Source organism: Homo sapiens, chromosome 12 (genome assembly GCF_000001405.40).
Source record: "Homo sapiens chromosome 12, GRCh38.p14 Primary Assembly".
Classification (NCBI taxonomy): domain Eukaryota; kingdom Metazoa; phylum Chordata; class Mammalia; order Primates; family Hominidae; genus Homo; species Homo sapiens.
Window position 1 is genome coordinate 3,149,547 of NC_000012.12, and position 27,507 is coordinate 3,177,053.

The following is a 27,507-nucleotide window of genomic DNA, read 5'->3' on the forward strand; positions in this document are numbered from 1 at the left end:
CACCTGTCTCAGTCCAACAGACAACAGCATCATGGTGTAAAGAGTTGATTTGAGCCCTTTGGAAAAAAGGCCCTAGGGGAGAGGCACTTATTTTGTTTTTATTCTGAGCTTTATCTGATCTCAACACAGGACAGGATGGGTGTTAGCCAAGTAATAGCCACCAGTGATTCAAGACCTGGCTTGGAGTTAGAGACATCTGGGGAGCTTTTCAATAATTCAGGCTCCTGGGCCCCCATCCCAGATCTTCTGAGTCTGAAGCTCTGGGAACGGGGGCAGAAAGCTGTATTTCGAAAAGCTTCCCACATGATTTTGATGCAAAGGTAGGTTTGCCCCTTTGAGGAGAAATCCCTTGCTGAACAGATATTCGTAAGTGCTTTTCTCTGAAGTATGCCTGACTTTGGGAGCATTTGTTAATTGATGTATTCATCCAGCCAGCAGACATGTAGTGAACGCCCATGGCGTGCCAGACACAGCTCTGGGCAGAGGGGTGTGGGCAGGATTAGGTGGAGTGTTCTTCCCTCAGGGAGGGCACAGTCCAGTTTGGGAGACAGACAGCACCAGCAGTGACAATGTAGCATGAAAGGTGAGGTGTGGGAGATGCCCGCTGGGCCCGTTACATTTGGCTGGACTTCAGAGAATATGTCTCGGCCTCCCTCGGTCTGTTTCCGCCCCTCTGCCAGTTATAGGCTTAATACCCTTTTTATGTGTATTTGAACAGAATAGGGCACATAGCTGACTTGATGCTGATGCCCAGAGAGATTAGGGGGCTTGACTAAGGCCGCACAGTGAGTTAGTATTTTGTTGATGGGGGGCAGGAATGGGGAGGGTTTCCTTTGAAAAATCTGTGTCATAAAACCCCTAAATGGATTGTAGTATATATGGGCTCTGCAGGTGGCAGGCAGACATGGTGTCAGTCTTGGTTTCAGTCTGTGGCCCGGTGTGAATCTTTGGTTTCTTGTCTACATGCTGAGGCTGATATATACGCACGTTGCTGCTGGTTCTTAGAATTAGAGATATGGTATGGTTGGCCCATGCTAGGTGCTCAATGAATGCCAGCTTTTCTTCTCTGCCGTTGTATTTGGTGTCTTAAGTGAGGAGAGTATGCTTTTTGGGGCCTCAGACTCTCTGAGCCCTCCTTCTAGCTGGGGGTTGCCTTAGCTAATTCCCACTTACGAGCTGATTTCAGGGTGCTGAGTTCCAGGCCCTGCAGGAGATCGAATGCTGCCCCTTCTTCACCCCACGCCTGGCCTGGCCTTGGGGAGCCCTCCCCTGTCCTGTGCCTTTTAACTCAATACTCCCTGACAGCCCCATGCAAATTGCTAGAGCACTCAGAACGCCTCATTTCTCATAAGGCCCCTTCATCCAAGCCTTTGTCCTTCCGCTCAACGTTAAACTCTGTCAACATTTTTTCCCAATGAAGTTCTTCCTCCCTCTGCAGCGTCCCCAGCCTCCAGCCAGCTTCGCTAGCCAGGGACACAATTGGATTGCAATTTCTAGCACTTCCTGGAGATCAGGTCCCTGAAGAGCTATAAAAATCCAGCGGTGTTTCTGGCCACCTTTCCATGTGGTTTGTAGTGCACTGTCAGTCACACACGCCTGCAGAGCATGTGTGTGTTTGTGTTTGCACACGTGTGTGCATGTGTGTGAGTGGGTGCATGCATGCATGTGTATTTGGCTTTAAGGGAGGCTCTCATATTGCATTACCTATGTTGCTAGTTTCTGGCTGCCAGTTTGCATTTCTTAGGCGGATTTTCTGATTCCAGGCTCGGGAGGGCTCCCCTGCACTGTATGTAATTGGGCACGAAGCCCGTGGTGGGGTGGATTTGGGTAATGGCAGGGCTGCATTCCTCCCATTCTTTTCTCACAGGAAAAAGTGCCTGGATATAACCCTGTGGTGGGGATTGCTTACAGGAGGGGCCGGCTGCCTGCCACCAGCCTTCACATTTGGCCCCTGTCGGCCCCCTCCAGCCTTGCCCTCCCACCTCCCCTCAAGGCAGATGCCACCAGCTGGGTGGGCACTGGGGCTGCGCATGCCCCCTCAGTGATTAATGGCCTGCAAGACTTGGCTGCCTCTTCCCGCCCATGCTTGGTGGGACATGGCGCCCATTTCCAGGGTCTTCTTCCTTAAACCCAGATATGAAACAGAATAGGGCAGCCTCCAACGTGAAATGTCTCTTACTCTCTCCCTTCCTTGCTCCCTCCAGCCTTTTTTCCTTTCTTAAAAACAAAACAAAACAACCGTGGTGTGCGCCTGTACTCCCAGCTACTCGGGAGGCTGAGGCAGGAGAGTCGCTTGAACCCGTGAGGCGGAGGTTGCAGTGAGCCGAGATCGTGCTATTACACTCCAGCCTGGGCGACAGAGTGAGACTCCACCTCAAAAAAAACAAAAAAAACACACAGCCGATCTTTGGAATTGAAAAGTAAAAGCCCAACAATCAGGCGTAAGTAAATTTCCTGCAAATGGGATGCCTGCTGGAGGGGGCTGTGATTTGCTGCTTGGCGCAGACAACTCTGAGGAATTTTTCCTCTCCAGCTCTCATTCCCTTGGGGAATTCATGGCGGGGAATCTCTCCCTGGGGAGTCTGACCAGCTTGGAAGGAGGTAAGGCAAGGAGGGCTTCCTGTTTTCCAAGGCACCCCCCTCTGTCATAGCTCATAGGGAAGCAGCTGCCACTTCCCAGCCCTCCTTGCCTGGCCACCAGGGAGGCTGCTGCGGGGTCAGCCCTCCTGATTGTCAGCAGGATCCTGGCACCCAGCTCCTCCCTCACCTGCCACAGGGTTTGGCCTGATGCCAGGGTGGGCTGGGATTTGGCATCCCACCGGCCCCTCTTTTTGGAAGGTCCTGTGGCAGTCCTTCTGTCCTTCTGACACACCTGCCCCCACTTGGCAAGCAGCCTTCCCCTGAGATCTAGTTCCTGAGTGTCCCCAGCGATGGACACAGTGAAACATGTATTGAAAAGAATGAGGGAAGGACAGTCTTGGGGGAGAATGCTGGACTGGCTGTTTCTAGCCTAGAGGCTGTCGTCAGAGCCCCGTTCTTTTCTTTTCTTTCTTTTTTGAGACGGAGTCTCGCTCTGTTGCCCAGGCTGGTGTGCAGTGGCGCGATCTTGGCTCACTGCAACCTCCGCCTCCCAGGTTCAAGCAATTCTCCCTGCCCCCGCCTCTCAAGTAGCTGGGACTACAAATGCCTACCACTATGCCCGGCTAATTTTTACATTTTTAAATAGAGATGGGGTTTCACCATGTTGGCCAGGCTGGTCTTGAACTCCTGACCTCAGGTGATCCACCCGCCTTGGCCTCCCAAAGTGCTGAGATTACAGGTGTGAGCCACCACGCCCAGCTGAGCCCCCTTCTTTTCTTATGCTGCATCAGAAGACAGGGACTCTGAAACCACAGCAGAAATGACAGAGCAGCAGAGGCGCACACACACCTGACGGGTGGGGGCCCCAGGACGGCATCTGTGCTCAGTGCGAACGCTGAGCTTCCTTTTATGGTGCGTGCACGCCTGCGCGTGTGTGGGGTGTGGTGGTGGTGGTGGTGGTGCAGGGCAGGCCTTCCTTGAAGCCCTCTTCAGACTGATTTGTGACACCTTTTCCTTGTGCCTTACCCCTGTGGCAGTCCCGGAAGGGCCTGAACAAAGCAGACATTTCCTGCCTAGCCCTTATCATCATGTGCTAGTTTATTTCAGGGTCAGGAGCTATTGGGCATTTTAAAAAAATACTTATCATATAAGTAATGCCGTATAATAGGAACACAAATCAAAGAAATAGGGGTATAAAATACCTGACAAACCTGCCATCATGACAAATCAGTTTTTTATTTTCCATGATGCCTTCAGTCTGTATTTGCTTGCAAACATAATTTTTTTTTACATGGTTATAGTCAATAATGTAGATAGAATTTTGTGTTCTATTTGCTTTCTTTAACATTTTAAGAATTTTGCATTCTATTTGCTTTCTTTAACATTTTACTATAAGCTACATAATCATCACAATTATGATCATCATCATCACACTTTCAAGTGGTTACATAGGAAATGTTTCCTATTTATCCGTTTTCCTACTGTTGAATGTTTAGCTCACAATTTTAACTTACCTAAATAGTAGAAACTGCACTAATACATTAATATGTTAATATTATATATATGTGTGTGCGTGTGTGTCTGTGGATGTATCTCTGTCTGTTTCTCTGTCTAGCTGTCTGTTTCGCTTTCCTACTGTTGAATGTGCAGCTCACAATTTTAACTTACCTAAATAGTAGAAACTGCATTACTACATTAATATGTTAGTATTATATATATATGTGTGTGTGTGTGTGCGTGTGTGTCTGTGGATGTATCTCTGTCTGTTTCTCTGTCTAGCTGTCTGTTCCCCTTTCCTACTGTTGAATGTGCAGCTCACAATTTTAACTTACCTAAATAGTAGAAACTGCACTAATACATTAATATATTAGTATTATATATATATGTGTGTGTGTGTGTGTGTGTGTGTGTGTGTCTGTGGATGTATCTCTATCTGTTTCTCTGTCTAGCTGTCTGCTCCCCCTTTTGCGTTATTTCCTTAGGACAATTCAAGAAGCCAAGCATTCTTTCCTAGAGCAATGAGGTATCTCATTCTGGGTTATTAAATACCAGCCGGAAGTCAGGTGCCTGAGAGCAGCCACAGGGTTTAGCTGAGATCTTGGCCCAAGTCTGTTTTCACACACTGCCCTTGGGAAGGCAGTCAGGTAGCAGAGGTCCTGCTTTAAAGGCTGTTCACTCTGCATTTTTATCCTATCTCCAGCTTCGAAGCCCGCTGGCCTGGTACATAGATTTTGCGTATGTTGCTTCACTCATTCAATAATTCCTAAGTGCACTCCCCATCTGACCCCATTCAAAGCAAGAGAAATAGGTCTCGCTCGCACCCTTAGGGAACTTGCAGTCTGAAATGACCGTGGGCTCACCCATTCAATTATATTCAATCAACTTTATGCAAGCCTGCAAACTCAGATGAGCGATAACAGCCCAGGGTTGTGGGCCCATCAGCGTGTTCCTCCCTTCCTCCCTCTCTTCCTTCCCTCCCTTTTCCTCAGCGTCCTGCTTTCATTGTTTTGCAGCAGGTTGACCAGCATAGAACATGATGCACATGTTCAGCCGTGCAAAAGAGGAGCTAGTGCTTAAGTACAAATGGGAGACATGATTCTTTTGTTTTAAGTAAATACTTAGCCTGACTTCGGTCCTGTGAGCATCTGCACTCCAGGCCTGAGCAGCTGAGCTGCCTCTCACATGGACCTGCCATGATTCCATGACTGCCTGCATGCCCAGTCATCACTACATGGCATTAGGGTGCCAGTGGTTGAACGTGATCACAGTGAGCCCCTTTTCTAGCGACTTCTCCAGCCCCCTACAGACATGATCTAGCTAGGACAGAGACAACTGGAATTTCTCAAAGGGCAGTGGTCTGTAACAGTTAAGCATTCTACATGGTTCTCTTGGTTCCCTAGATCTTCCATTTTTCAAGGAAAATTTGAACTTCTGATTTTTGGGTAAAATCTCCTAATTTTTAACTATTGGCAGCTAATTAAAAAAAAATTAAAACGTGATGCGGACCAAATAAAACCTGTGCGTGGGCTGGATTTGGTCTGGGGGTACCAGCTTGTGACCCCTGCTTTATGTATTAAAGGTAGGGTGTTATGCTGGGCACTTTGGGGAATATAAAGAGCATAAAGTGATGAAATTAATAAAAATCATGGGGTGTGGGAGAGGCAGCTCACACACAGAGCATAACACAGTTGGCTACGCAAGTGAAACCGAAGGCGGGCTGTTCCGGGAATGCTGGGCAGAGACTGTTGATCGTGTTCTGAGCTTTTAGGAAATCAGCACGAGGAGGCCTCTCCTGAATAGCTGTTAGAAGAGACCATATCTTCCAGGCCTGGTGTGGTGGTGCGCACCTGTAATGCCAGCATTTTGAGAGGCCGAGGCGGGAGGATCCCTTGAACCCAAGAATTTGAGGCTGCAGTGAACCATGATTATGCCACTGTGGCCCTGATGACAGAGCAAGACCCTGTCTCTTTAAAAAAAAAAAAATAAAGAGGGAGCGAGAGCAAGACCACGTCTTCCTTTTCTAGTCCCTTTGGGAGGAGTTAGGCCTTGAGTGAGAGACGGCTTGAAGCATGGAGTTGGAACTGGGAAGACTGGATTAGGTGGGTGCCGAGTAAATTTCCTTTTCTCCGTTTTCCCATCACGCAGTGAGGAAAATTGTCCCCCTTGGGCAGTTAGCAAGTATTTATTGTAGGCACACTGGAGGCGGAGTTGCCAGGGCCCCCTCTTCCTCCCCTCCGAGATCTCTAGGGGGAGATAAAGGGGAGTCTGTCTGAAGTGCTTTGAACTCTTCAGGACGCCGAAAGGACTTGAAGACGTTGCTCCATGGTTTTCCCGGATGACAGCCATGACGTATGAGCCTAGTGATACTTAAGAGATACGACTTGCTAGGGAAGTAAACACCCAGTGTTATTTATTAGTTCTTTAAAAAACAAAGCTTTTCTTAGCTGGGAGGTTTCAGATCAGTGACAATGTCAGCTCCAGTTTTCCTCTGTTAATAACAGGCCAGCCTCCTCCCCAGCCTGTGTCAGCGGCATTGAGAAGTGTGTCTGGGGTCTGGGTGCACCTTTGGCATTTGATGATTCCCTGAGAGGAAGGGAAAATGGTACTGAAGACCCGGAAGGTTGTGCAGGGCCAGGACGGATCTCGTTGTGAATAATAAAGCAAGCTGCCTTCCAGTGCTGGGCCTTTTGCTTTTATCTGTGTCCTCCCTCCATGTAGCCCCCTCCAGGACTGGGAGAGGGAGGGGCAGCAGGTGGGGAGTCGGGGGGCCAGGAGATAGGGTGCTGATAGAGGCATCTCCTGTCTTCTTGATAGGGGAGGTGTTGGAGTTTGGGATCTAGGCAAGACTTGGACTTTGCTTCTTAGAGTTGTTTTTTTGTTTTTGTTTTTTTTTTAGATGGAGTCTCACTCTGTCACCCAGGCTGGAGTGCAGTGGCATGATCTCGGCTCACTGCAACCTCCCCCTCCCAGATTCAAACCTCCCAGATCCTCCTGCCTCAGCCTCCCGAGCGGCTGGGATTACAGGCATGCGCCACCACAACTGGCTAATTTTTGTATTTTTAGTAGAGATGGGGTTTCACCATGTTGGCTAGGCTGGTCACGAGCTGCTGACCTCAAGTGATCTGCCCTCCTCAGCCTCCCAAAGTGCTGGGATTATAGGCCTGAGCCACCACTCCCGGCCTGCTTAGAGTTGAATGGAATCTGGAGATGAATGGGAGGGTTAGCTGGCTAGCTGGGAAGGCTGTGGAGCAGGAGAAGGGCCCAGGGCAGGGGGCAAGGGCTGAGAGCTAAGGTTGAGGTGAGGTCTGATGAACTTGAGGGCCACTGCATTTTGACCTTGAGTAACTATAGTATTGATAAGGACAGTACCTTTGCAGTATTGAGTACAAATTCTCCCCCGCTGAGCCTCATAGAAACAGGCCAGAGAGGGCAGAGCAGGTTTTATTATTTCCACTTAATTCAGGCTGAATGTGGTGTTTTTTTTTTTTTTTGAGACGGAGTCTCGCTCTGTCACCCAGGCTGGAGTGCCGTGGCGCGATCTCAGCTCACTGCAAGCTCCGCCTCCTGGGTTCACGCCATTCTCCTTCCTCAGCCTCCCGAGTAGCTGGGACTACGGGTGCCCGCCACCATGCCCGGCTAATTTGTTTTGTATTTTTAGTAGAGACGGGGTTTCACCGTGTTAGCCAGGGTGGTCTCAATCTCCTGACCGCATGATCCCCCCACCTCGGCCTCCCAAAGTGCTAGGATTACAGGCGTGAGCCACTGCACCCAGCCTGAATGTGGTGTATTTTAAGAATGTGGGTTTTTGAAGCTAGACACATGTGGGTTCAAGCTTAGCCCTCTGACCTTGACGAACCTCATTAGCCTCTGAATCTCAGTTTCTCCATCTGTAAAATGGGGAGACCAATGCTTGCCTCACTGGGTATTTTGTAAGGGATGAAAACCTAAAATAGTCTTTGGCATATAGTAGACATTGAATAGTGAATAGCAGCTGCTACTGCTGTCAGTGTAAACTAAGAAACAGACCTACAGAGGTCATCTGTCCTGCTGGAGGTCACAAGGGAAACAGCCAGGACTGGAACCACGGTCCCAGACCTTGTAGGCCGTGTTCTTCCATTCCCGGGACACTTCTTTCCCCTTCCCTGATCAGGTGGGCGCTGGGCAGACGCTGGCAGGCAGGCACCACCGCTGTCCAGGACGCATTTATGCCTGAATTGTAAGTTGTGGGCTGTGCCTGGCCTCAGACATGATTATAGGGTGCTGACAAAAACAGCACCCCCTGATTAAGACGATGAGCGAAAACGCACCCGGGCTTTTGTTCACTGAGCAACTCCATTGTGTCTTTCTCCCCTTTTCCACCCCTCCCTTTATCTACTAAAAAAAAAGAAATGGAAAAGATGAAGGACTGTCAGCACCAGATCACAACACGGGCTCCAGGAGTTGGCGGCTTTTCAGTGCCTGCGGGGTTTCCTCTTCTTGCTTTCCTCGACCAAGTCTAATTGAGATAAATCTGAGGGCTCCCCTCGGAGCACAGGGCTTCCTGCTTCCCTGTGTCCCGGAGGAGCATCCCCTGGGGCTTGCTTTGTCAGCACTCTCCCCTGCCCCATGGATGCCTCCTACAAGATCTGTGGAAGTGGCTGTTCAGTCTGTCTGCTGCCTGTGGATGGAGCTACCTTTCCCCAGCACCCCACAGGTCATGTCACACTCCCTTTTCCTATCTCAGATCTGTGCTTCCATGTATAGTGTGCAAGGCTCTGCAGAACTTGACCTCAGCTTGTCTTTGTGCTGCCGTCCTCCACTGTTCCTTGCATAAAGCATAGGCTTCCGTGGCTCACGCCTATAATCCCAGCACTTTGGGAAGCTGAGGCAGGTGGATCACGAGGTCAGGAGTTCGAGACCAGCCTGGCCAGCATGGTGAAATCCCATCTCTACTAAAAATACAAAAAGTAGCTGGGCATGGTGGCGCACGCCTGTAGTCCCAGCTACTTGGGAGGCTGAAGCAGGAGAATTGCTTGAACCTGGGAGGCAGAGGTTGCAGTGAGCCGAGATCGTACCATTGCACTCCAGCCCAGGTGACAGAGCAAGACTCTGTCTCAAAAAAAAAAAAAAAAAAAAAAGCATAGGCTTCCACTGTGTCGGCCAACTTGCTACTTCCTGACAGGTCTGGAAGCCACCTGCCTTTGTGCTTTTGATCACTTAGCCTCTTTTGCTTGGACAGCCCTCACCCCAGTGGAATTAGGCACAGTCTTCGCGGATTAGCTGGAGTGCCAGCTCCTTTGTAAAGTGCGTCTTGCTTGGGAACGTACTCCTCCTTTGCCCGGCACGTCACAGATATGAAATTAATGTTGGCTTTGCTTAGGGCCCTCTGCTGTGACTGTGCAGGTCTCTTCCAGGGCCTCCTCAGAGCTTGATTGTCTGCGCTCCCCACCCCCTGCCAGGGAGCCTATTTACACTTTTATTGTACATGATCTAAGTTCTTAGGCATTTTTCTTTCTAAGTTTAAAGTTCTCTTACTTTTCCCATTATTGTCTGTTGTTTCTGAGCCTCGGAGGCTACGGCAACAGGAGGGTGAAGTAGAAAGCACACTAGATTGAGAGCAGGAGCCGTGGCTTCTCCTCCCAGCTCTGCCTCTCACCAGCTGTGATTTGGGGCAAGCAGCTGACCTTGTCTGGGTCCGTCTCAGTTCCCCATCTGTAATACAAGGGGTGGGCTGGCTAATTTCTAGGATTTGTGGATGGGGTTTTAAAGAACAGTTTTCCTGAGATATAATTTGTACACCATCACACTCTCCCATTGTTACAGGCTCAATTTTGCCCCTGCAAATCCTAACCCCATACCTCAGAATGTGACTGTATTTGGAGGGAGAGAAGATCTTTAAAGAGGTGACTGAGGTTAAATGAGGTCACCAGGGCAGGCCCTAATCCACCATGACTGGTGCCGTTATAAGAGGATATTAGGGGCCTGGCACCATGGCTCACACCTAGAATCCCAGCACTTTGGGATGCCGAGGCAGGAAGACCACTTGAGTCCAGGAGTTTAAGACCAGCATGGGCATCATGGCAAGACCCCTCATCTCAATTAAGAAACTGTATATATAGAGAGAGGATATTAAGATAGAAACAAACACAGAGGGAAGACAACGTGAAGACGTAGGGAGAAGACGGCTATCTACAAGCCAAGAACAGAGAAAATGGAAGAAACCAATCCAGCTGACACCTTGATCTTGGACTCAGCCTCCAGAATCATGAGAAAATAAACTTCTGTTGTTTAAGCCACCCAGCCTGTGGTACTTTGGTTATGGCAGTCCTAGCAAACTGATACACCTATTTGTATATTTAATATACAACTCAATGGTTTAATCTGTTCAAGTTGTATAACCACTGCCACAATTTATATTTTGAACATGTTATCACCTCAGAAAGAAACCCCATACCCACTGGAAGCCATTCTCTATATCCTCCCAACCCTCATTCCTCCCCCAGCCCTGGGCAACCACTAATCTGTGTTCTGTCTGTGGTGTTGCTTATATTGTGGATGCTTATTTTAAATGGAATCATGTAATACGGGTTTTGATTTTTTTGTGATTGGCTTCTTAGCATACTTAGCATAAGGTTTTCAGGGTTCATCCATGTTGTAGCATATGCCAGTACTTCATTCCTTTTGATTACGCAATAATATTTCATTCCATGGGTATGCTACGTTTTGTTTATCCATTCATCACTTGATGGATATTTGGGTTGTTTCAGTTTTTTGGCTATTTTGAATAATGCTGCAATGAACATTTGTATATAGATTTTTGTGTGGACATGTTATTTATTTCAGGTATCTAGGAGTGAAATTGTTGGATCATATAGTAACTCTATGTTTAACTTTTTGAGGAACCACCGAACTGGTTTCCAAAGTGGCTATACCATTTTACATTCCCACCAGTAATGTATTCCAATTGGGAATTAGACTCTTTTCCAATTTCTCCACATCCTTGTCCACACTTGTTAATTTCTGTCTTTTTGGAGCCATCCTAGTGAGTGTGAAATGGTATCTCATTGTGGTTTTCATTTGCATTTCCCTAGTGATGAATGATGTTGAGCATCTGTTCTTATACTTATTTGCCACTTGTGTATCTTCTATTCATATACTTTGTTTATTTTAAAATTGGGTATTTGTCTTTTTATTATTCAGTTGTAAGAATTCTTTACATATTCTGGTTATAAGCCCCTTAATCAATATATGATTTGCAAATATTTTCTCATATTCTGTAGGTTTCACTTTTTTTGATGGTGTTATTTGCAACATAAGAGTTTTTAATTTTGTGGCTGGGCTGCGGTGGCTCACGCCTATAATCCCAGCACTTTGGGAGGCCGAGGCAGGTGGATCATCTGAGTTTGGCAGTTCTAGATCAGCCTGACCAACATGGAGAAACCCTGTCTCTACTAAAAATACAAAATTAGCCTGGCATGGTGGTGCATACCTGTAATCCCAGCTACTCATGAAGGCTGAGGCAGGAGAATCGCTTGAACCTGGGAGGCAGAGGTTGGGATGAGTCGAGATTGCACCATTGCACTCCAGCCTGGGCAACAAGAGTGAAACTCGGTCTCAAAAAAAAAAATAGTTTTTAATTTTACTGAAGTCCAATTTATCTAATTTTTCTTTTATTGTGTTTTTGGTGTCATATCTAAGGCATAATTGCCAAACCCAAGGTCACAAAGAGTTACACCTATCTTGTCTTCTAAGAGGTTTATAGTTTTAACTCTTACATTTAGGTTCATGATTCATTTTGAGTTCCTTTTTGTGTATGGTGTGAGGTAGGGGGCCAACTACATTTTTCTCCTGTGGGTATGCAGGTGTCCCAGCACCATTTGTTGACATAAATAGGATCTTAAAGGACACCTGGAGCCCTTTAAAACCCACCACCTGGGGAGCAGGAGGTAGGTGGAGCACCTAGCGTGGGGCCTGGCCTGGGGAAAGTGCTCTTGGAAAATGCCCTTTCCTGCTGGAAGAGCACCAGTGAGCAGCTCCCCAGCCCCTGCTTCTCAGCCTTTTGTGTTGATATTGTACAATTCTGTGTGTGTGTAACTTGCTGTTCACTAGACCCAGAATGGTGCTTGCTATGGTTTGAATATTTGTCCTCTCCAAATCTTGGGTTGAAATCTATCTATCTATCTATCTATCTATCTATCTATCTATCTATCTGTCTGTCTGTTGTTTTAGAGATAGGGTCTCACTCTGTCACCCAGGCTGGAGTGCAGTGGGTGCACTCCAGCTCACTGCAGCCTTGAATGCTGGGGCTCAAGCCATCTTCCCGCTTCAGCCTTCCGAAGTGTTGGGATTACAGGCATGAGCCATGGTGCCTGCCTGGCCTCCTCAGGTTGAAATTTGATCCCAGTGTTGGGGGTGTGGCCTAATGGGAGGTGTTTGGGTCATGAGGACGGATCCCTCATGAATAGATTAATGTCCTCCCTGGCGAGTGAGTACATCCTCACTGTAATAGTTCCTGTGAGAGCTGATTGTTTAAGAGCTTGGCACCTGGCACCTCCCCCCACTGTCTTGCTTCCTCTCTCACCATGTGATATCTGCCTATGCCGACTCGCTTCTGCCTTCCACCATGAGCAGAAGCAGCCTGAGGCCTCAGCAGATGCTCAGACATCAGAATCGTGAGCCAAATAAACCTTTTCCCTGATCAATCATCCAGCTTCAGGTATTCCTTTATAACAACACAAAACAGACTAAGACAGTGCTGTATGCAGCTGCATGCTAAATAATTGATTCAGGTGATGGTGAAGGTCAGAACAGGAGGATGTGGGCTTACATCATAGCAGGGGAGTGTCCCTGGCTGAGAGACCTGCAGGAACCAACAGCAGAGAGGTTATCAACTCTTGTTCTACCTGGAGAGGTATTTGAGGGCCCCTAGGTCCAGCTGATGGGGCTCTTGGAAGCTGTTGATCAAGCCAGGGAAAAGATGATAGTGACAGCCAAGACCAGAGGTGATGAATGTTTAGAAAAAAAAAAAGTAATTTTCAGCTTTTTGGCTCCTTTAATCTAACCCTGCTTTTGGGCCAGAAGAAGACCATTTTCTTTCCCCTCAGCTCTTTCTCAGCAGAGCTAATAGGTCCCCCGGGTAGATTTAAGGGAAGTTAATGAAACAAGTTATGGTTATACCAGGCTCTAGGCTACATGTCGCCCTTCTCTCCCAGGCCTCCAGGGCTGAGGCTCAAGGTACCATCTCCCCTGCCGGGAGAGCTGAGGCAGCCCTGGAGGCCCCAGGCAGCCTATTGGAGAGAGTGTCAAGGTAGGGGCAGCAGAACGTCGGAGGGACACGTCTTCTCCTTCCTCCCACTGTGGACAGCATGGGAAGGGAGAGTCTTGCCAGTCATTGGCGAATCTCCCCAGTAGGGCCCCAACTCTCTTCTCCAAGTGTATTCCCATCCCCTTCCATGGTCCCTGGCTGCGGTCCACACAGAGCACTCCCATGCTTGTTCGTGCAGCTCTCTGTGGAGTCCCCAGCATCTAGACACTGCCTGGCATGATCAATAGTGGTTGAATGAATGAATGCTTTTCTACCTTGAGCTCAAGCTATTCATTTCACCTCATTCCCCGTTGCTCTCTGGCTGTTTTCAGAAGCCTGCCAACTGTTCAAGGGCCAGCTTAAATGTCTTGTCTATAAGCCCCATAATTGAATATGACAATCCCATCTTTTGCTTCTCTCGCTCTTTTGTTTCTACCTCTGTTTGGCACTTTCCACACTCTACCCCATGGTAAGATATTTGTGTGTCTGTTTTAACCCCAGCATTGAAACACCCTGTATAGGGCAGGGACCATGGCTTTCTGTTCTCATTTTATGTCATTTCTCCTCCCTTCCACCCCGCTACACCTAGGATGGTGTTTCATAGACCTTTGCCACTCAACAAAGTCTGCTTAACTATAGCACCTGGGTCACACATCGTTGGTGCTGGGTCTTTTTCCCGGGTTACTGTTCTGCCTACAGCTTTTTGCCACTCAGAGGATTTTCCTGGGTTTCACATCCTGGAGTAGGAGGTATTTACGAGAGACAGATGTCAGCGTGTGGTGTTCCCAATCCATTGCGTATAATTTACATATCTCTGTGCAGCTAGCATCAGTGAGACCACACTACTAAGGTATTATGCTTGACTCCTGGCAGGAAGAATTGGAGCAGATAACACATCAGTGGTAATCCCTTGCTCTGCCCTGGAGGATACAGAAAACCTCTGGTGTGAGTTACTGCCTGTGGATATTAGAGACTCACCTGCTGTCATTAATGTAGAGGCTGGATTTCCCTCTCCAATTGATTAGGCAGCTCTCTCTGTTCTCTCCTCTTTGCAGGGAGGAGGCCACTCCTTCACCCCAGTTCCTGATCTGGAGGGTGGGGCAGGAGGGCCAGCAGGAGGGGACCCACTTAGAAGGCCAAGCTATAGAGGTCCTTTGGGATAGACCAGTGGTACTGAGGCTGGACCGTTCATTAGGTGCAAAGTCCCTGATGAGAGGAAAGGGAAGGAAGGAAACGGTGGCCTGCTCTGTATTTAGATGAGCTTTCTCTTTCCTAAGGTGCTTTCGTATGAGTTTTTGCTTTCTATTATCAAAACAGTCCTGGGAGGTGGTTTATCTCTGTTTTCAGACATAGGGTCTACAAAGCAGAAAAGAAGGTGATGCACAGCAGAAATGAAAGAGGAGTTTGCTTTACACTCTGTGGTACGTAGCATTGATCAGGGAGCCACCATGGCTGGCATGCAGTGGGCATTTGATATGTGTTTGTCCAATAAATGAATAGCAGGCACTCAACAAATCATCCTTGATTTGAAATAAAAGTTTTTCTGGATTTTGCTTCCAGCTCACTCTGGTCTTCTTTACTCTCTGGCTGTTTCTTCTCTTCCCTGTTGGGTTAGCTCCTCTCCCTGGCCCTTGCACTTGTCCCAGGCCTGCGAGGGGAGATTGACACCCAGAGGTTGCTGGATCGTGGTGATGCAGAGGCATCTTGCGGTGACTCCTGGGAGCCAGCAGTGTCGTGGTAGGTTGGCAAGTGCCGGCTGCAAAACCCTCCTCCTTTGCTGCAGGTGGATATTGCTACTTGATCACAGCACTGTTAACTCTGCAACCAGACTGAGCCTGCTGAGCCTTCTCGGTATAGCACTCCAGGTTGCTGCCACCAATGGGCCACAGTGGCATTTCGGATGGCAAGGAGGTCCTGTCTTGGGTAGAGTAAAGAGCATTAGGGTGAGGGTCAGAGGACCTAGCTCTGAATCCTGGCCTCTCCATTTCTGCTTTGTGACCTTGGGATAATCCCTGGACATTTCAGAGCCTTGAACGTGCGGGCTTCTCAGGTCCCTTCAAGCCCTGAAATTCTAGGATTCTGTGGTTCCTTTGGTTGGGAGGAAAGAGGCTCTCGTCTGGTGGCCTGGCCGTAGAGGGGTAGGATTAACCTCTGGGGTCAGCAAGCTTGCAGAGCTCAGGAAATGCCTCTCTGTGATCTGTATTTGGTCCAGAGACAGGTGGTGGAGCTAGAGGAGGGGAAGTTCACTCACAGCCCTAGGCTGGGGGAAGGGAGGCCTAACTCAGCTGCTGTTTTTCCTAATGGAATGAAGGTCTTTGGACCTGAGTCCTCAGTGCATCTAGATCTTAGCAAAGAAGCAGGAAGTACTGGCCACGAATCCCACTGCTCATCCTCTCTGTTGGTGGGGAAAATAGAGGGATTTCTTATTGCTAATTAATGGAGGTTTGCCAGGAATCAGGGTTCATTTGCTGATTTTTCAGTAAACTTTATGAAGTGTCAATTCCTTGGGCAGAATCTGCTCTTTGGACTTGGAGATGACCGCCAGGAAATCACTTCCTTTGAGACATACCCCATGCTGTCTTATTTCACGGGGGAGTCCAGAAGTATTTAAAATGTTAGTGAGTGAGTTCTGTTGCTGCCGCCGTACTGCAAGGCGAGGGTCACGGAGTGTTTCTCCCCATTGTACAGAAGGAGATACTGAGGCCCAGAGAGAGTTGCTCGCAAAGCTGTGGGTCTGCTGGCAGCTGGGAGGGAGGCGCCTCTGCTTGTAAGCTCTCAAGGCCGCGAGTGAGCTGTAGGCAGTCCGTCTGTGTCTTTGTGAGGCGCCCGTGAGATTAGCCACTGAGCAGAGGTTTAATTTATGATGGCGCCTAGTATTCTCGTCCTGCTGCCTCCTAGAATCTGCTGCATCATTGGAGTTGCCGAGCTCCCAGGGGTGTCTTAAGTCTCATAAGTAATCTGTGTCTCAGCCATGTTCGAGGCAGCCTCATGCAGGGGACGGGCCTCAAGGAGTGGCTCCGCACCGAGGCTCAGGCCAGGCTCAGATTTGCCCAGGTGTGGATGGAACTCGTCGGTCTAACAGGGCCATGGAGGGAAGTGGCCGAGGTGTGGGAATTATAGGCATCTGAGTCAATGTTACTCTCTAAACGCTCTCATTTGGTCACTAATGATACAGCAGATGTAATAGTTTGGCATTCATGACTCCTCTTGATGAAAATGGTTGAAATGAGGACCTAACATGGGAAAGACACAGAATTCTAACAATATTCAAGCAGTATTAAGTAATGTAAGCCTAATGTATATTGTAATATTTTTCATTAACTTTAATTTAATAGACATTTATATTTTAATTTGTGATGTGCTTAGTTCTTGCAAGCAGTAACGCTGCCTTTCTTTAAACAAACGTTCCATATTTTGCACTTTCCACTAATTTAGAAAGGATTTGTTATTACTGATTAATGAGGTTTTACTAAGAATAGGATGAAAGCATCATACTATCTAAAGCTGGAAGGTTCCTTAGAGATTATCTCATATTCTTCATTTTAGAGATGAAAAAAGACTAGTATTATACATATAGATGATCAGTGATTTATTTTACATGAACAGCTTTGTCCTTTTATATGAAAGGGCTACCGGGATGAATAAATGGACAGAAATGGAAAATGTTCTAACCTTCTGTTGAAGTATAACATATGTATGCAATGCAGCATTTGATGAATTTTTATAGAGAAGTGAACACATCTGTGGGACCAGCATCCAGATTGAGAAACAGAACATTACTAATACCTTGCACATCACCCCCATTCCCCTTTTGAGACTTTACTCCTGCTCAGGGGTAGCCACTAACCTGATCTCTAACAGCATAGATTAGTGTTTTGTTTTTTGTTTTTGTTTTTTTCTTCTTTGAGATGGAGTCTCGCTCTGTCACCGAGGCTGGAATGTGGTGGCGCGATCTCGGCTCACTGCAACCTCCACCTCCCAGGTTCAAGTGATTCTCCTGCCTCAGCCTCCTGACTAGCTGGGATTACAGGCATGCGCCACCACGCCCGGCTAATTTTTGTATTTTTAGTAGAGACGGGGTTTCACCATGTTGGCCAGGCTGGTCTCGGACTCCTGACCTCAGGTGATCCACCCTCTTTGGCATCCCAAAATGCTGGGATTACAGGTATGAGCCACCACGCCCGGCCCATAGACTAAGGCCTTTACGTAAATGGGATCATACAGCTTGCGTTCTTTTGTCTAGCTTCTATTTCTCAACATTAAAAAAAATAAGATTCATCCACGTAGCTGCAAGTGGCTGTAGTTCATTGATGATCTCTCACTAATGAGATATCTCACTGTGACTGTTGATTTCACTGATGGCCAGTGAAGATGAGCAGTAGGAATGGGATTTTGAACATAGATGGAGGTTTTTAGCTCTTCCATTAAGTTAGCTACTCTGTGCCAGCCAATGAGGACACAGAGAGACTACGACACATTTTAGGGATGATAGGTAAACATATAACTTGAGTGCAGTATTGATCAGCTTAGGAAAAAACTGTGAGCCCCTGGAGATTGGGCTTATCTCTTGTGTACTTTTGCACACCTTTCTTCTTAATGATTAGGATGGTGCTTGGTGTACAGGTGCTAATAAAACTAGTGGGAGGGTCAGCCCAAGGTTGGGCTGGAAGGGATGATGGTGATGGGCTGGGGTGGATGTGGAGTCATTAGCTCGTGATGAGCTGGATTTGGGGCATGCACAGCCCTCACAAATGTGGCTCCAAGTCCAGGCAACTGCTGCCTAAGTGCTGTGAGCATGGTCTCCCGCTTGGGATCGGGATGGCAGGGGCTAGGAGCTGCTGGGGGCCAGATGTGGCTGCTGACCTGGTGTGCAGGGGCCAGGGCTGACTGACTTTCCTCCGGGGGCTTTGGCTGGCATCAGTCTGGCTGGGGGTGGGGGAGCCTTAGACCACACCTGCAGAGTTCCCATCTGGGGCAATGTGCCTGTTTGCCTGGACCACCCTCCTGGGCCCATCCCACTGGCTCCTTTGGGAGCTCTGGGTCTTATTCTGCAGGGTCAGGTCATGGGCCTGTCCTCCTGGGAGGATTGGGGTCAGTTTGGTTTGCAGGCCTTTGTGGATAAAAGCATGTCCTGGGGTCCAGCGGACAAGCAGCAGCAGGAGATACCCTCCCATGTCACTCATTCTGTGCCACAGAAGCCCAGGCCGGGGGAGACCACACCACCGTTCCACCGTTTAGCTCAGTGCCCTGCAAGGCAGGAGTAGCACCGGTCATCCTTGGCAGAGAATCATTCGCTCTTTTCTCTATCATGGGAAAAATCTTCATCCCTCTACACTGTGCCAGCTCTTTCCAGATGCTTCAAACCTTTTTAGTTGCTAAGGTCTTCATAAAATCTCCCCTCTAGCGCTCGTCTTTTTGCTTCCTTCAATTCAAGACCCAGAGGGGAGCCAAAATCTGTGCCTTCGCAATATGTTCCGGGTGCTGTAGGGGTGCTGGGTGAACAAGAACTGGGCCTGTCTGCAGCTGCTCAGCGTCAAGCACACAGGACAGAATGAATTCAGGACAGAGTCTAAGAAGAGGCTGCAAGGGGTAAGAAGAGAGTGTCACAAGCTGGGAGGTGCCAGAGCTGGGGGGCGGTGGGGAGCTGACTTACTTTCTCTTTGCCCCCCTCTATTTCTATGTGTGAGTCATTGTCACTTGCTTGTGAAGTGCTGCATCCAATCTCTTTACGAATGGATGTCTCAAGAGCAGTTACAGGCATTGGGAAAAAATTGAGCTCTGGATGGAGAGGATTTGATAAATCTTAATTCTCTTCCCAGACCAGGTCCTGTCTCTCTGGGAAGCTGAGGCCACTCTCCGCCCCCTCTCTTTTCTGTGTCTCCACCATAAAGTACTCGTTGAGTAAATGAATGAATCAGATGCGCTGCCTCGATGGCCCCGCCTCCCTCCCGGCCAGTGTGGGCGTGCAGATGGATGAGCTCAGGTTTGGACGTGACTCAGAAGGAAGGTAGTGGGGAAATACAAGGTGGTGATCTCATGTGGCATTAAACGGAGCTGGGAACATGAAGTGTGTGTACGCTTCTCTTTTCGTCATTTCTCTCCTCATTCCAGACCCCCTGGCAACAGTCTGCCAGGATGAGACTATGGGGCAGCCAGAGGAGAGAAAACTGGCTCCATTTTCACCCGCCTGTGAGTTCTCAGGGACCATTCTATCTTCTGCACGTGGAGTGTGGGAGAGGGGCAGAGGCCGTCACTGCACAGCCCACCTTCAATGCTCTGTCTTCCTCCTTAGTCTGCAGAACGCACCCAACTCTGTTTCGGGTGGGTGTGGGCAGGTTGACCTCAGGGCTGGGGGAAGGTTTGATTGGCTTTGGCATTCTCTGAGAGAGGAGTGGAAGAAGCCCCTGCTTTAGAAGTCAGGGCAGAGAGAGGGAGTTCATGTGATCTGGTGGAAAGACCTTTGGCTTAGAAAGGAGAAGCTCTGATTTCTAATTCTGGTTTGGATATTAGTTTGGTGTCCTGGGAAAAGTCCTTTATCCCCTAGATCTCAGCTTCTCCACCTGTCAAATGGGCAACACGTGTACCTGCCCTCCCTACCGCCCAGAGTGGCCATAAGGACCACATGAGTTAATGGTATGACAGCCTGGGAAAAGTGAAAAATGCTGATAAAAGTAATGTGATCCATTATTAATAACAAACCCTGTGAACACTCAGCACCCTAGGCATCAGTCTGGATGTGGGAATCACAGCTAGAAAAGGCCTAGATCCCTGCCTGGGCATTTGGGAAAGGCTTCCATGCCTGTGAGCTTGTTGGAGGAGTGGGAACCATGCGAGTGAGTTTGGAAGACTTATCAAGGAGGCAGTTTTGAATGACATTTGAAGGCAGGAAGAAGATCGTATCAGGTGTCAGGGTGGGCAGGGTGGCTTCCTGGAGCCTGGGGGAGGTGGAGGGTACAGAGAAGCTTAGAGGTGTATGCAGCTCCCTGAGTGGGACTCAAGCCATCCACTTGAACCCAACCATGGGGCACCTTCTCTCCTCATTTTTGCTAGGCAGCATGGGGAAGGAAAGAGCCCTGATGGAGGAGTCAGAATGTCTTGGGGTGGGGGTGGGGGCATCCTGAATCTCATCTCTGCTACTTTCTGGCTGCCGTGACCTTGAGCAAGTCCCTTTACTTCTCTCTGTTCCACGTCCTTCATCTGGGAATAATAATACCTGTCTCACTGGGTTGCTGTGAGGATTGAGTGAGGCAAACAGCCTGTAAATAGAGGGTGCTCAATAAATGTCACTTACATCTGAATTTCTCTCCCATCCATCTCGTTTATGGTGTTTACAGGGAATATTCTGCACTGATCCCTGCCAGGGCTCAGTATTTTCCTTCCTTTTCCATGGAGACAGATTTTGCAGTTACTCCAGTTTTATACCTATAGCCCAAACTCCTGCGTTGGACACACCAATCTACGGCTAGCTTGCTCCAGATAGCATGTAGCATAGGATTCCACATGTAATATACATCTGTGGGAAGAAACTCAGACTCCAAAGGCAAACCTTATAATTAAAAGACTTTTAGAAGCAGAGATTTTGTTTTTCTGTTCCTCCTTGTCAAAATTACATTGTTGGAAACAAAATCTGATCTGGTGGATGTGCGTGGCGTAGATAAGAGATCACTGAGTCAGTTCTGTGTGGGGGGGTCGTGATGGGGGAGCAGATGGCCCTGGTCATGCATGTGGCTTCTCCTGGCCACAGAGCACCTTATCTGTAGAATGAGATGGCTGCAGAGATCAGGCCTACCCAGCTGAAAACACTGCAGGAGAGTTGGGGAGGATGGCAGGAGGTAGAGCGGAAGGACCTGCACAGCTGTGGCACCTGTGGGGCTGCTGGCTGAGGCTTCGAGGTCCACCATCACCTCGTTTTCTGCCGGGCAGGGACTCCTGGGTTGGCGCTCTCTAAAGCCGCTTCTGTTTCTAAAGTTCTTTGACTCATTTCTTAAGCATTGCATCTGCGTCTCCACTTGGATGACTAATAGACGTCCTAATGTACTGAAAAGCACACTCGTTGCCTCCCCACTCCTGTGTTCCTTTGTAGATCAACCAGGATTCTTCCTCCTTTTGCTGCTTCTGTGGCTATAGCCCTGATCCAGCCACCGTTCGTCACCTCGTGCTTGGATTATGGGAACAGTTTCCCAGCACATCTCCCTGCTGCTGCCCTGTCCCGACGCGCGCCGAGACCTTCTGACTTTTCTGTTTAAAGCAGCTGCCCCTGCCCAGTCCTATCTTCCTTATCCCTCTTTATTTTTCTACGTAGCATATGATATATATATTCTTTTTTCTTTATTTGTCACCCTCATGTCCTCAAATTGGAATGCAAGCTATAGGAGGGCTTGTTTGTTTTTCCTCCTGGTTTTGTGCACTGCCGTAAACCCAGTAACTAGATCACATGACTAATCCGTAATCCACAGAAACTGTTTGCTATCAGTCTGCAAATGATTGCCCACTCTCTTCTCATGTTTTCCATAATGCCAGCCCCAACCTTGAGGATCCCTTAACCCTGGATGTCCTGATAGCCCCTGCTGTCCCCTCTCTCATTCATCAGACCCACCTATCCTTCCTGTGTTGTTAGTTACCCATCCCTGTGTGTCCCTGTGAATAGATCTGATAGATAAGATAATCGAGTACTTGGTCTTATACTTCTAACCCCCTTTACCCAGCACAGACCTAGTATGTAATAGAAAATGCCCAGTAAATTCAGCATTCATTCATTTACTGCCAAATTTCTTGATGAACTGCTATTGACAGATGATTAAAATTCAATCCCAGAAATATTCTGGGCCTTTGAAAGGTGTGTCCTACTGGCCTGAAGAAGGGGCTGTGACCAGATGGTGGTTCTGCACTCGTAGGTAGGGTGTGGTCCTTGTTTGCAGTGAATCTCTGGGAGCGTGGCAGTTTCTTCCGTGTGTCACGTTCTCCCTGTGTCTGCATCCAGAGTGGCCGCAGTCCCCAGGGGATGAAGGGTGCACCTATTTCTTTAAATTTCCATGGAGGGTCGAAACTGCTCCTTGAGATTTTAAAATACGCTTCATGGTCCCCACGGTGTCAGGTAGCTAGTTTATGGGTCCCATCCTGGTTGTGATAACTCAGGCTGAGCTGGATGATAAACGAAAGTGGGACAGAGCTGCAGGATAAATATTGCTACAGGGCATCTCCAGCGGCACAAATCACAGGGAAAATATCTCCCAGGCTTTTCATTTCTCCTCTTCCTCCCTGGCCCTCTGGTAGCAGCCAGCAAAGCAGGATCCATCCGTCACCCTTCCCCCGCCCCCACCCCAGCCTCAGCTCTCAGCGCACTGCTGGGGAGCGAGGGATGCAGATTGGTCCTGGTGCAGGCGGCCCTCTCTGTCTTGCGGCCCTCTGCCTCCCCGCCCAGCTCTGGAGGCAGCCCCGGGGAGCCGGCATGGTCAGGGTCATGCTGTTTTCAGTTGTGGACGAGTGCTTAGCTTTGCAGACCTGATTCTTTATCTCTAAAACGAGAGAGATTAATAACTGGTGGTTCTTAGTCTGGCGCGAGCGGGTGCTCGTGTCACTCACCGGGGGAACTTAAACGCCGCTTGCTGAGTCCCACCCTAGCGCATAGAATCATAACCGCGGGGGTCTGGTCTGGGGTGTTTTCACTGACGTTTGGTTGGCCCTGCCAGCGGTGCTCACGAGGCCCACTCCTGGCCAAGAGCCACTCCTGGTACAAGTGAGGACTGAGATGGGCGATGGGGTGGGCGGTGCGATGGGCCAGTTCGTTGACCAGCTCTTGTACTAGATCCATCAGCAATGTCGCTTAGCGAGGCTTTCTTCAGCTTTGGAGGCATGCTGGCTTCGTAATCAGCGTCACCCTGTAGGTGTTGATTGAGCCTGCAGGGAATACCAAGCACGTAGGCATGGAAAGGTAACTAACCGCACGCGGCAGGCGAGTCTATTAAACAGAGAGGCTGGTCCCAGCGCAGGTTGTTACCACCGCTGGGCCCTCCCACCACCTGACCTTGAAGCGCACTCAGAGGTTTCTCTCACTCCACGCCCGGGTTCTGCTGACTGTGCCTCTGCCTTGTCTCTGGATGCCACTTTCCCAGTTCAGGTGCTCAAGGCGTCTTACCTGAACATTACCACAGCTTCCTGACAAGTCTCTCCAAGCTGTCCTTTGCTGTCCTGCAAAGTGGCTGTGCCCACTGACCTGGTCGGCTGTGCCTGGTTGGCTGTGCCTGGCATGTGGAGGGTGCTCACTGTGCCCGGGTGGATGAGTTCAGTGGTTCCCTGTCTTCCCGAGGAAAGCCCAGAGTCTGTGTGGCTGCAGCCCTGCCCGTGGCCCTCACGAGCTGTATGACCACCCGCTAGACTCTTCTTGTGCTTTCTTGATTCTGCCACGTCCTTGCCGTCCGCTGGGTCTCGCCTGTGCTATTTGCTCTCCCTGCAATGCCCTTTCTCTTCCCTCTGCCAGGCAGACTGTACTCACCCGCTGGGCGTAGCACAGGTACTCCCATGGGACACCTCCTCATCTATGCCCATACTGGCATTGTAGCACTTACCACATGCTTGTGCTGTTGAAAGAGTTTGTTTTTGTGTATTTTTTTATTTTTAGAGATGAGGGCCAGGCTGGAGTGCGGTTGCATGATCATGGCTCACTGTAGCCTTGACCTCCTAGGCTCAAGTGATCCTCCAACCTCAGCCTTCCAAGTACTTAGAACTACAGGTGGACACCACCATGCCTGGCTAATTTTTAAGTTTTTGTAGAGATGGGGGTCTTGCTATATTGCCCCTGGTCTTGACCTCCTGGTCTCAAGTGATCCTGTTCCTCGGCCTCCCAAGTTGCTGGGGGATTACAGGTGTTAGCCACTGTGCCTGGCTCTGCCGTTTGTTTAAAGATCTCTCTCTCTCCTTTCTGTCTTCCTCCCTCCCTCCCTCCTCCTCCTTAAATTATAAGCTGCTTGAAAACAGGAACCAGCTGAGTTGAGCCCATCTACCAAGTGAAATGCCCAGCAGATCTCTGCCTGATAAATGTTTGTTGAATGACTACAGCGTGGTGTTAAGGATGTGGACCAGGAAGGGATGTTTGTATTTGTTGTGTTCTGACCTTGCTAGATGACCCTGAATAAATTCATTTATCCTCCAAAACTTCGTTCTCCCTCATTTGTTTGTTTGTTTTTGAGGCAGGATCTTACTCTGTTGCCCAAGCTGGAGTGCAGTGGCACGATCACTGCAGCCTTGAACTGCTGAGCTCAAGCGATCCTCCTGCCTCAGCCTCCTGAGTACCTGGGGCTACAGGCACATGCCACCATACCTGGCTAGTTTTTTAGTTTTTGTACAGACAGAGTCTTACTATGTTGCCCAGGCTAGTCTCAAACTCCTGGCCTCAAGCGATCCTCCCACCTAAGCCTTCCAAAGTGCTGGGGTTACAGGCTTGAGCCACTGCATCTGGCCATTTCCCTCATTTGTAAGGAGAGTTTACAGCTGATGATTTCTAGATTTCCTTCCAATTCTAACATTCTGGGATTCTGTGTGTTAGAAAATGAAGAGAGGTTTGTGTGTTCATTTCCAGGAGCCTGTGTGTTCTGCTGTGTTTGGGGCCAGGGGCTTCTTCTTGTAACAGGCCCAGCACACCTGGCCTTCAGCTGTGGCTTTTTTAAATTTTATTTTTATTTATTTTTATTTTTTGAGACGGAGTCTCACTCTGTCGCCCAGGCTGGAGGGCAGTGGCGCGATCTCCGCTCACTGCAAGCTCCGCCTCCCGGGTTCGCGCCATTCTCCTGCCTCAGCCTCCCGAGTAGCTGGGACTACAGGCGCCCACCACCGCGCCCGGCTAATTTTTTGTATTTTTAGTAGAGACGGGGTTTCACCGTGTTAGCCAGGATGGTCTCGATCTCCTGACCTCGTGATCCTCCCGCCTCGGCCTCCCAAAGTGCTGGGATTACAGGCGTGAGCCACCGCACCCGGCCTCAGCTGTGGTTTTAATTGACATGATTAATACCTGAGGAGCTCCTGATTTGGTAGTGTGAGAAGGCCGCCCGGACCTTACACCCCCTGCCCTGCCTGTCTTCTTTTCTTCCTTATTTTCTGAGGAGGTGGCCAGGTGAACTGGTGAGGCTTTTGTCCGCAGCTCTGCGCCTTGTGTGATATGAAGTGTTGCGGACACAACCCTGAGTGCTGTGCACACGACCCCTGCAGGGCGAGGCTGGGGGCATCATTTGGGATGAATGTGCTGTCCTGCAGGACCTAGGAGCAGGGGCAGCATCTCACCTGGGGTGAGACCTGGCAAGCAGGAGTGCGCTAAGCCTGCAACCAGAACTGGGAGGGAGAAGTGGCACGAGAGCGGTCAGTCTTCCTCGGCCTTGACCTTGAGGACATCAGGGTGTCTGGGCTCCTGGAGGTGGGAGTGAGACAGAGAGGCAGAGAAGGAGGTGGAGGTCAGCGCCCGGCAGGGGCCTGCCAAGCTGTGGCAGCCCCTGTGAGCTGCAGTGGCACGGGCTGCCTTGCAGGAGGTGTGAGATAGAGAGCTGCAGACACCAGGAAGGTCAGAAGCGTGGCCAAGGGAAAGCCAGGCACCTCGTCCTTCCCATCTCTCTGGGTTCATTTCCTTTGGTACTTGTAGAATAACTTTGAAAGACCCAGCCTCTCTCGCTGTGCTCACGGGAGCCCAGAGCAAGAGCTGCACTTCCCAGCTTGTCTGGAGGCCTCTAAGTGAGCAGGCCCCAGGGTCGCGGGAGGGAGTGCATCTAGCCCAGATTTCTTTCGCTGTTGCAGTAAGTACCTGGCCTTTCTGGTGTCTTGTTTCCAGGCCTCAGTTTCTCCTTCTGTGCTACCCTGCCCCACCTCCGTGGCTGGGTGTGGGACCGGCATCGCACCACTGCAGCCGAGTTGCTTTATAAATAGAAAGATACTTAACACCGACCCTGGAATCAAACAGGGAGGTGGCTCTGGGGAGCAGAGTTTTAAAAATGAGCATTGATTTCTGGGAATCGGCACACTGCATATTAAACAGACCCACATTGGCTCCCAGGGCACTGCTCAGCCCTGCCTGTATGCCTTTCTCCTTCCCAGTACAAGCCCTGCCCATCCAAGCTCTCAGAGGGTCTGAAGAGCCACGGGAATGAGATTCGTCCCAGCCCTCACCTCTGTGGGTGCTCCCTACCTGAAGTGGCTCTCACGCGCTTCTGTTCCCTGGCTTGTTCATCCATTTGTCCCCTGCTGTGAGCCAGGGACGGTGCTAGGTTCTGGGATTGAAAGATGAACAACAATCACCCCAGTGCCCCTTCTCCTCTTGTCTCAGCATCGAGCCTTACGGAGCAGTGTGCAGAGTGAGAGTCTGAATGGGGGGAGCCCAGCGATTGGAGAAGAGAAGGTCCAATTTTGCCTGGGCTGGGGAAGGAAGAGCCTTCATGGAGAAAACTGAGCGTCCAAGAGAGGGGCATGTGCTCTGCACAGGGAACAGAATGTGCGAAGGCATGAGGAACCACGCGGCTGTGTGCAAGCAGCTGGCATATACCAGGCACCTCATGGCTGCTAGTTAAGTGTGGGCTGGGGATTGTCACATCCGTGTGCTGCCTGCCACCTTCTTTTAGCCTCCTGTGGTAATGAAGGACATTCCGTCCACATCTGTTGATTGATTAAGATATTTTTGTCTCTTGGTCCAATCACAATTTAAAAGTTAGCTGTGAAAGAAGACTAAATAGTTTAAGAACATAGCTGCTGCTGAGACTTCCTTCCTTTTCCTTTGGTGGCTCAGACTCTATTCTGGGCCCTCGTCTCAGCGAAGAAAGTATCTGTCCTACATTAGGGAAAATCCCAAGAAAAACCGAAAGCAGCTCTCCCATCTTTACATCATCTGCCTCCACACCTGGCTGAGAATCGTGCACCTTTCAGGCCCTCCTGAGTTGCCTGGTCTTTCCTTGATTACCCACCAGAGCCCGTCTTTAAATATTCCATGAAAATTGGGGCCACTGAAGTGTGTCAGCTGCGAGTGAAATGCACAGAGCCGAGTATTAGGAAGGTGCCCCGCATTAGCGGGAAGAGTACCATGGACAGCAGGGCAAAACGAGGAGTGGCTGGGAGGCCAGTTAGGAGTCCATGAGCAAGAGGTGGCCGGGGGAGTGGGGAGGTGGTGGGACCCC

The 27,507-nt window shown here is 49.4% G+C and overlaps 1 protein-coding gene and 1 long non-coding RNA gene across 8 annotated transcripts in view, besides 6 other annotated features; both read left to right on the forward strand.

Moving 5' to 3' along the window:
- The window catches only part of TSPAN9 (tetraspanin 9), a 209,181-nt gene that overhangs the window by 72,168 nt on the left and 109,506 nt on the right, over positions 1-27,507 (forward strand). The gene's annotated exons all lie outside the window — the stretch shown is intronic.
- Positions 251-1,930, forward strand: TSPAN9-IT1 (TSPAN9 intronic transcript 1). The gene is made up of 2 exons (NR_046833.1): positions 251-320; positions 1,439-1,930. It is a non-coding gene; the product is annotated as a TSPAN9 intronic transcript 1 (long non-coding RNA).
- Positions 1,509-2,322: an enhancer, noted in NCBI's record as "H3K27ac-H3K4me1 hESC enhancer chr12:3260221-3261034 (GRCh37/hg19 assembly coordinates)". NCBI's record gives its function as "activates a minimal SCP1, AML or CMV promoter by ChIP-STARR-seq in naive H9 embryonic stem cells {active_cell/tissue: H9 hESC(naive)}" and the evidence as "EXISTENCE:reporter gene assay evidence [ECO:0000049][PMID:30033119]".
- Positions 12,923-13,424: an enhancer, noted in NCBI's record as "H3K27ac hESC enhancer chr12:3271635-3272136 (GRCh37/hg19 assembly coordinates)". NCBI's record gives its function as "activates a minimal SCP1, AML or CMV promoter by ChIP-STARR-seq in primed H9 embryonic stem cells {active_cell/tissue: H9 hESC(primed)}" and the evidence as "EXISTENCE:reporter gene assay evidence [ECO:0000049][PMID:30033119]".
- Positions 18,946-19,529: an enhancer, noted in NCBI's record as "H3K27ac-H3K4me1 hESC enhancer chr12:3277658-3278241 (GRCh37/hg19 assembly coordinates)". NCBI's record gives its function as "activates a minimal SCP1, AML or CMV promoter by ChIP-STARR-seq in naive H9 embryonic stem cells {active_cell/tissue: H9 hESC(naive)}" and the evidence as "EXISTENCE:reporter gene assay evidence [ECO:0000049][PMID:30033119]".
- Positions 19,530-20,112: an enhancer, noted in NCBI's record as "H3K27ac-H3K4me1 hESC enhancer chr12:3278242-3278824 (GRCh37/hg19 assembly coordinates)". NCBI's record gives its function as "activates a minimal SCP1, AML or CMV promoter by ChIP-STARR-seq in naive H9 embryonic stem cells {active_cell/tissue: H9 hESC(naive)}" and the evidence as "EXISTENCE:reporter gene assay evidence [ECO:0000049][PMID:30033119]".
- Positions 22,290-23,048: an enhancer, noted in NCBI's record as "H3K4me1 hESC enhancer chr12:3281002-3281760 (GRCh37/hg19 assembly coordinates)". NCBI's record gives its function as "activates a minimal SCP1, AML or CMV promoter by ChIP-STARR-seq in naive H9 embryonic stem cells {active_cell/tissue: H9 hESC(naive)}" and the evidence as "EXISTENCE:reporter gene assay evidence [ECO:0000049][PMID:30033119]".
- Positions 23,049-23,806: an enhancer, noted in NCBI's record as "H3K4me1 hESC enhancer chr12:3281761-3282518 (GRCh37/hg19 assembly coordinates)". NCBI's record gives its function as "activates a minimal SCP1, AML or CMV promoter by ChIP-STARR-seq in naive H9 embryonic stem cells {active_cell/tissue: H9 hESC(naive)}" and the evidence as "EXISTENCE:reporter gene assay evidence [ECO:0000049][PMID:30033119]".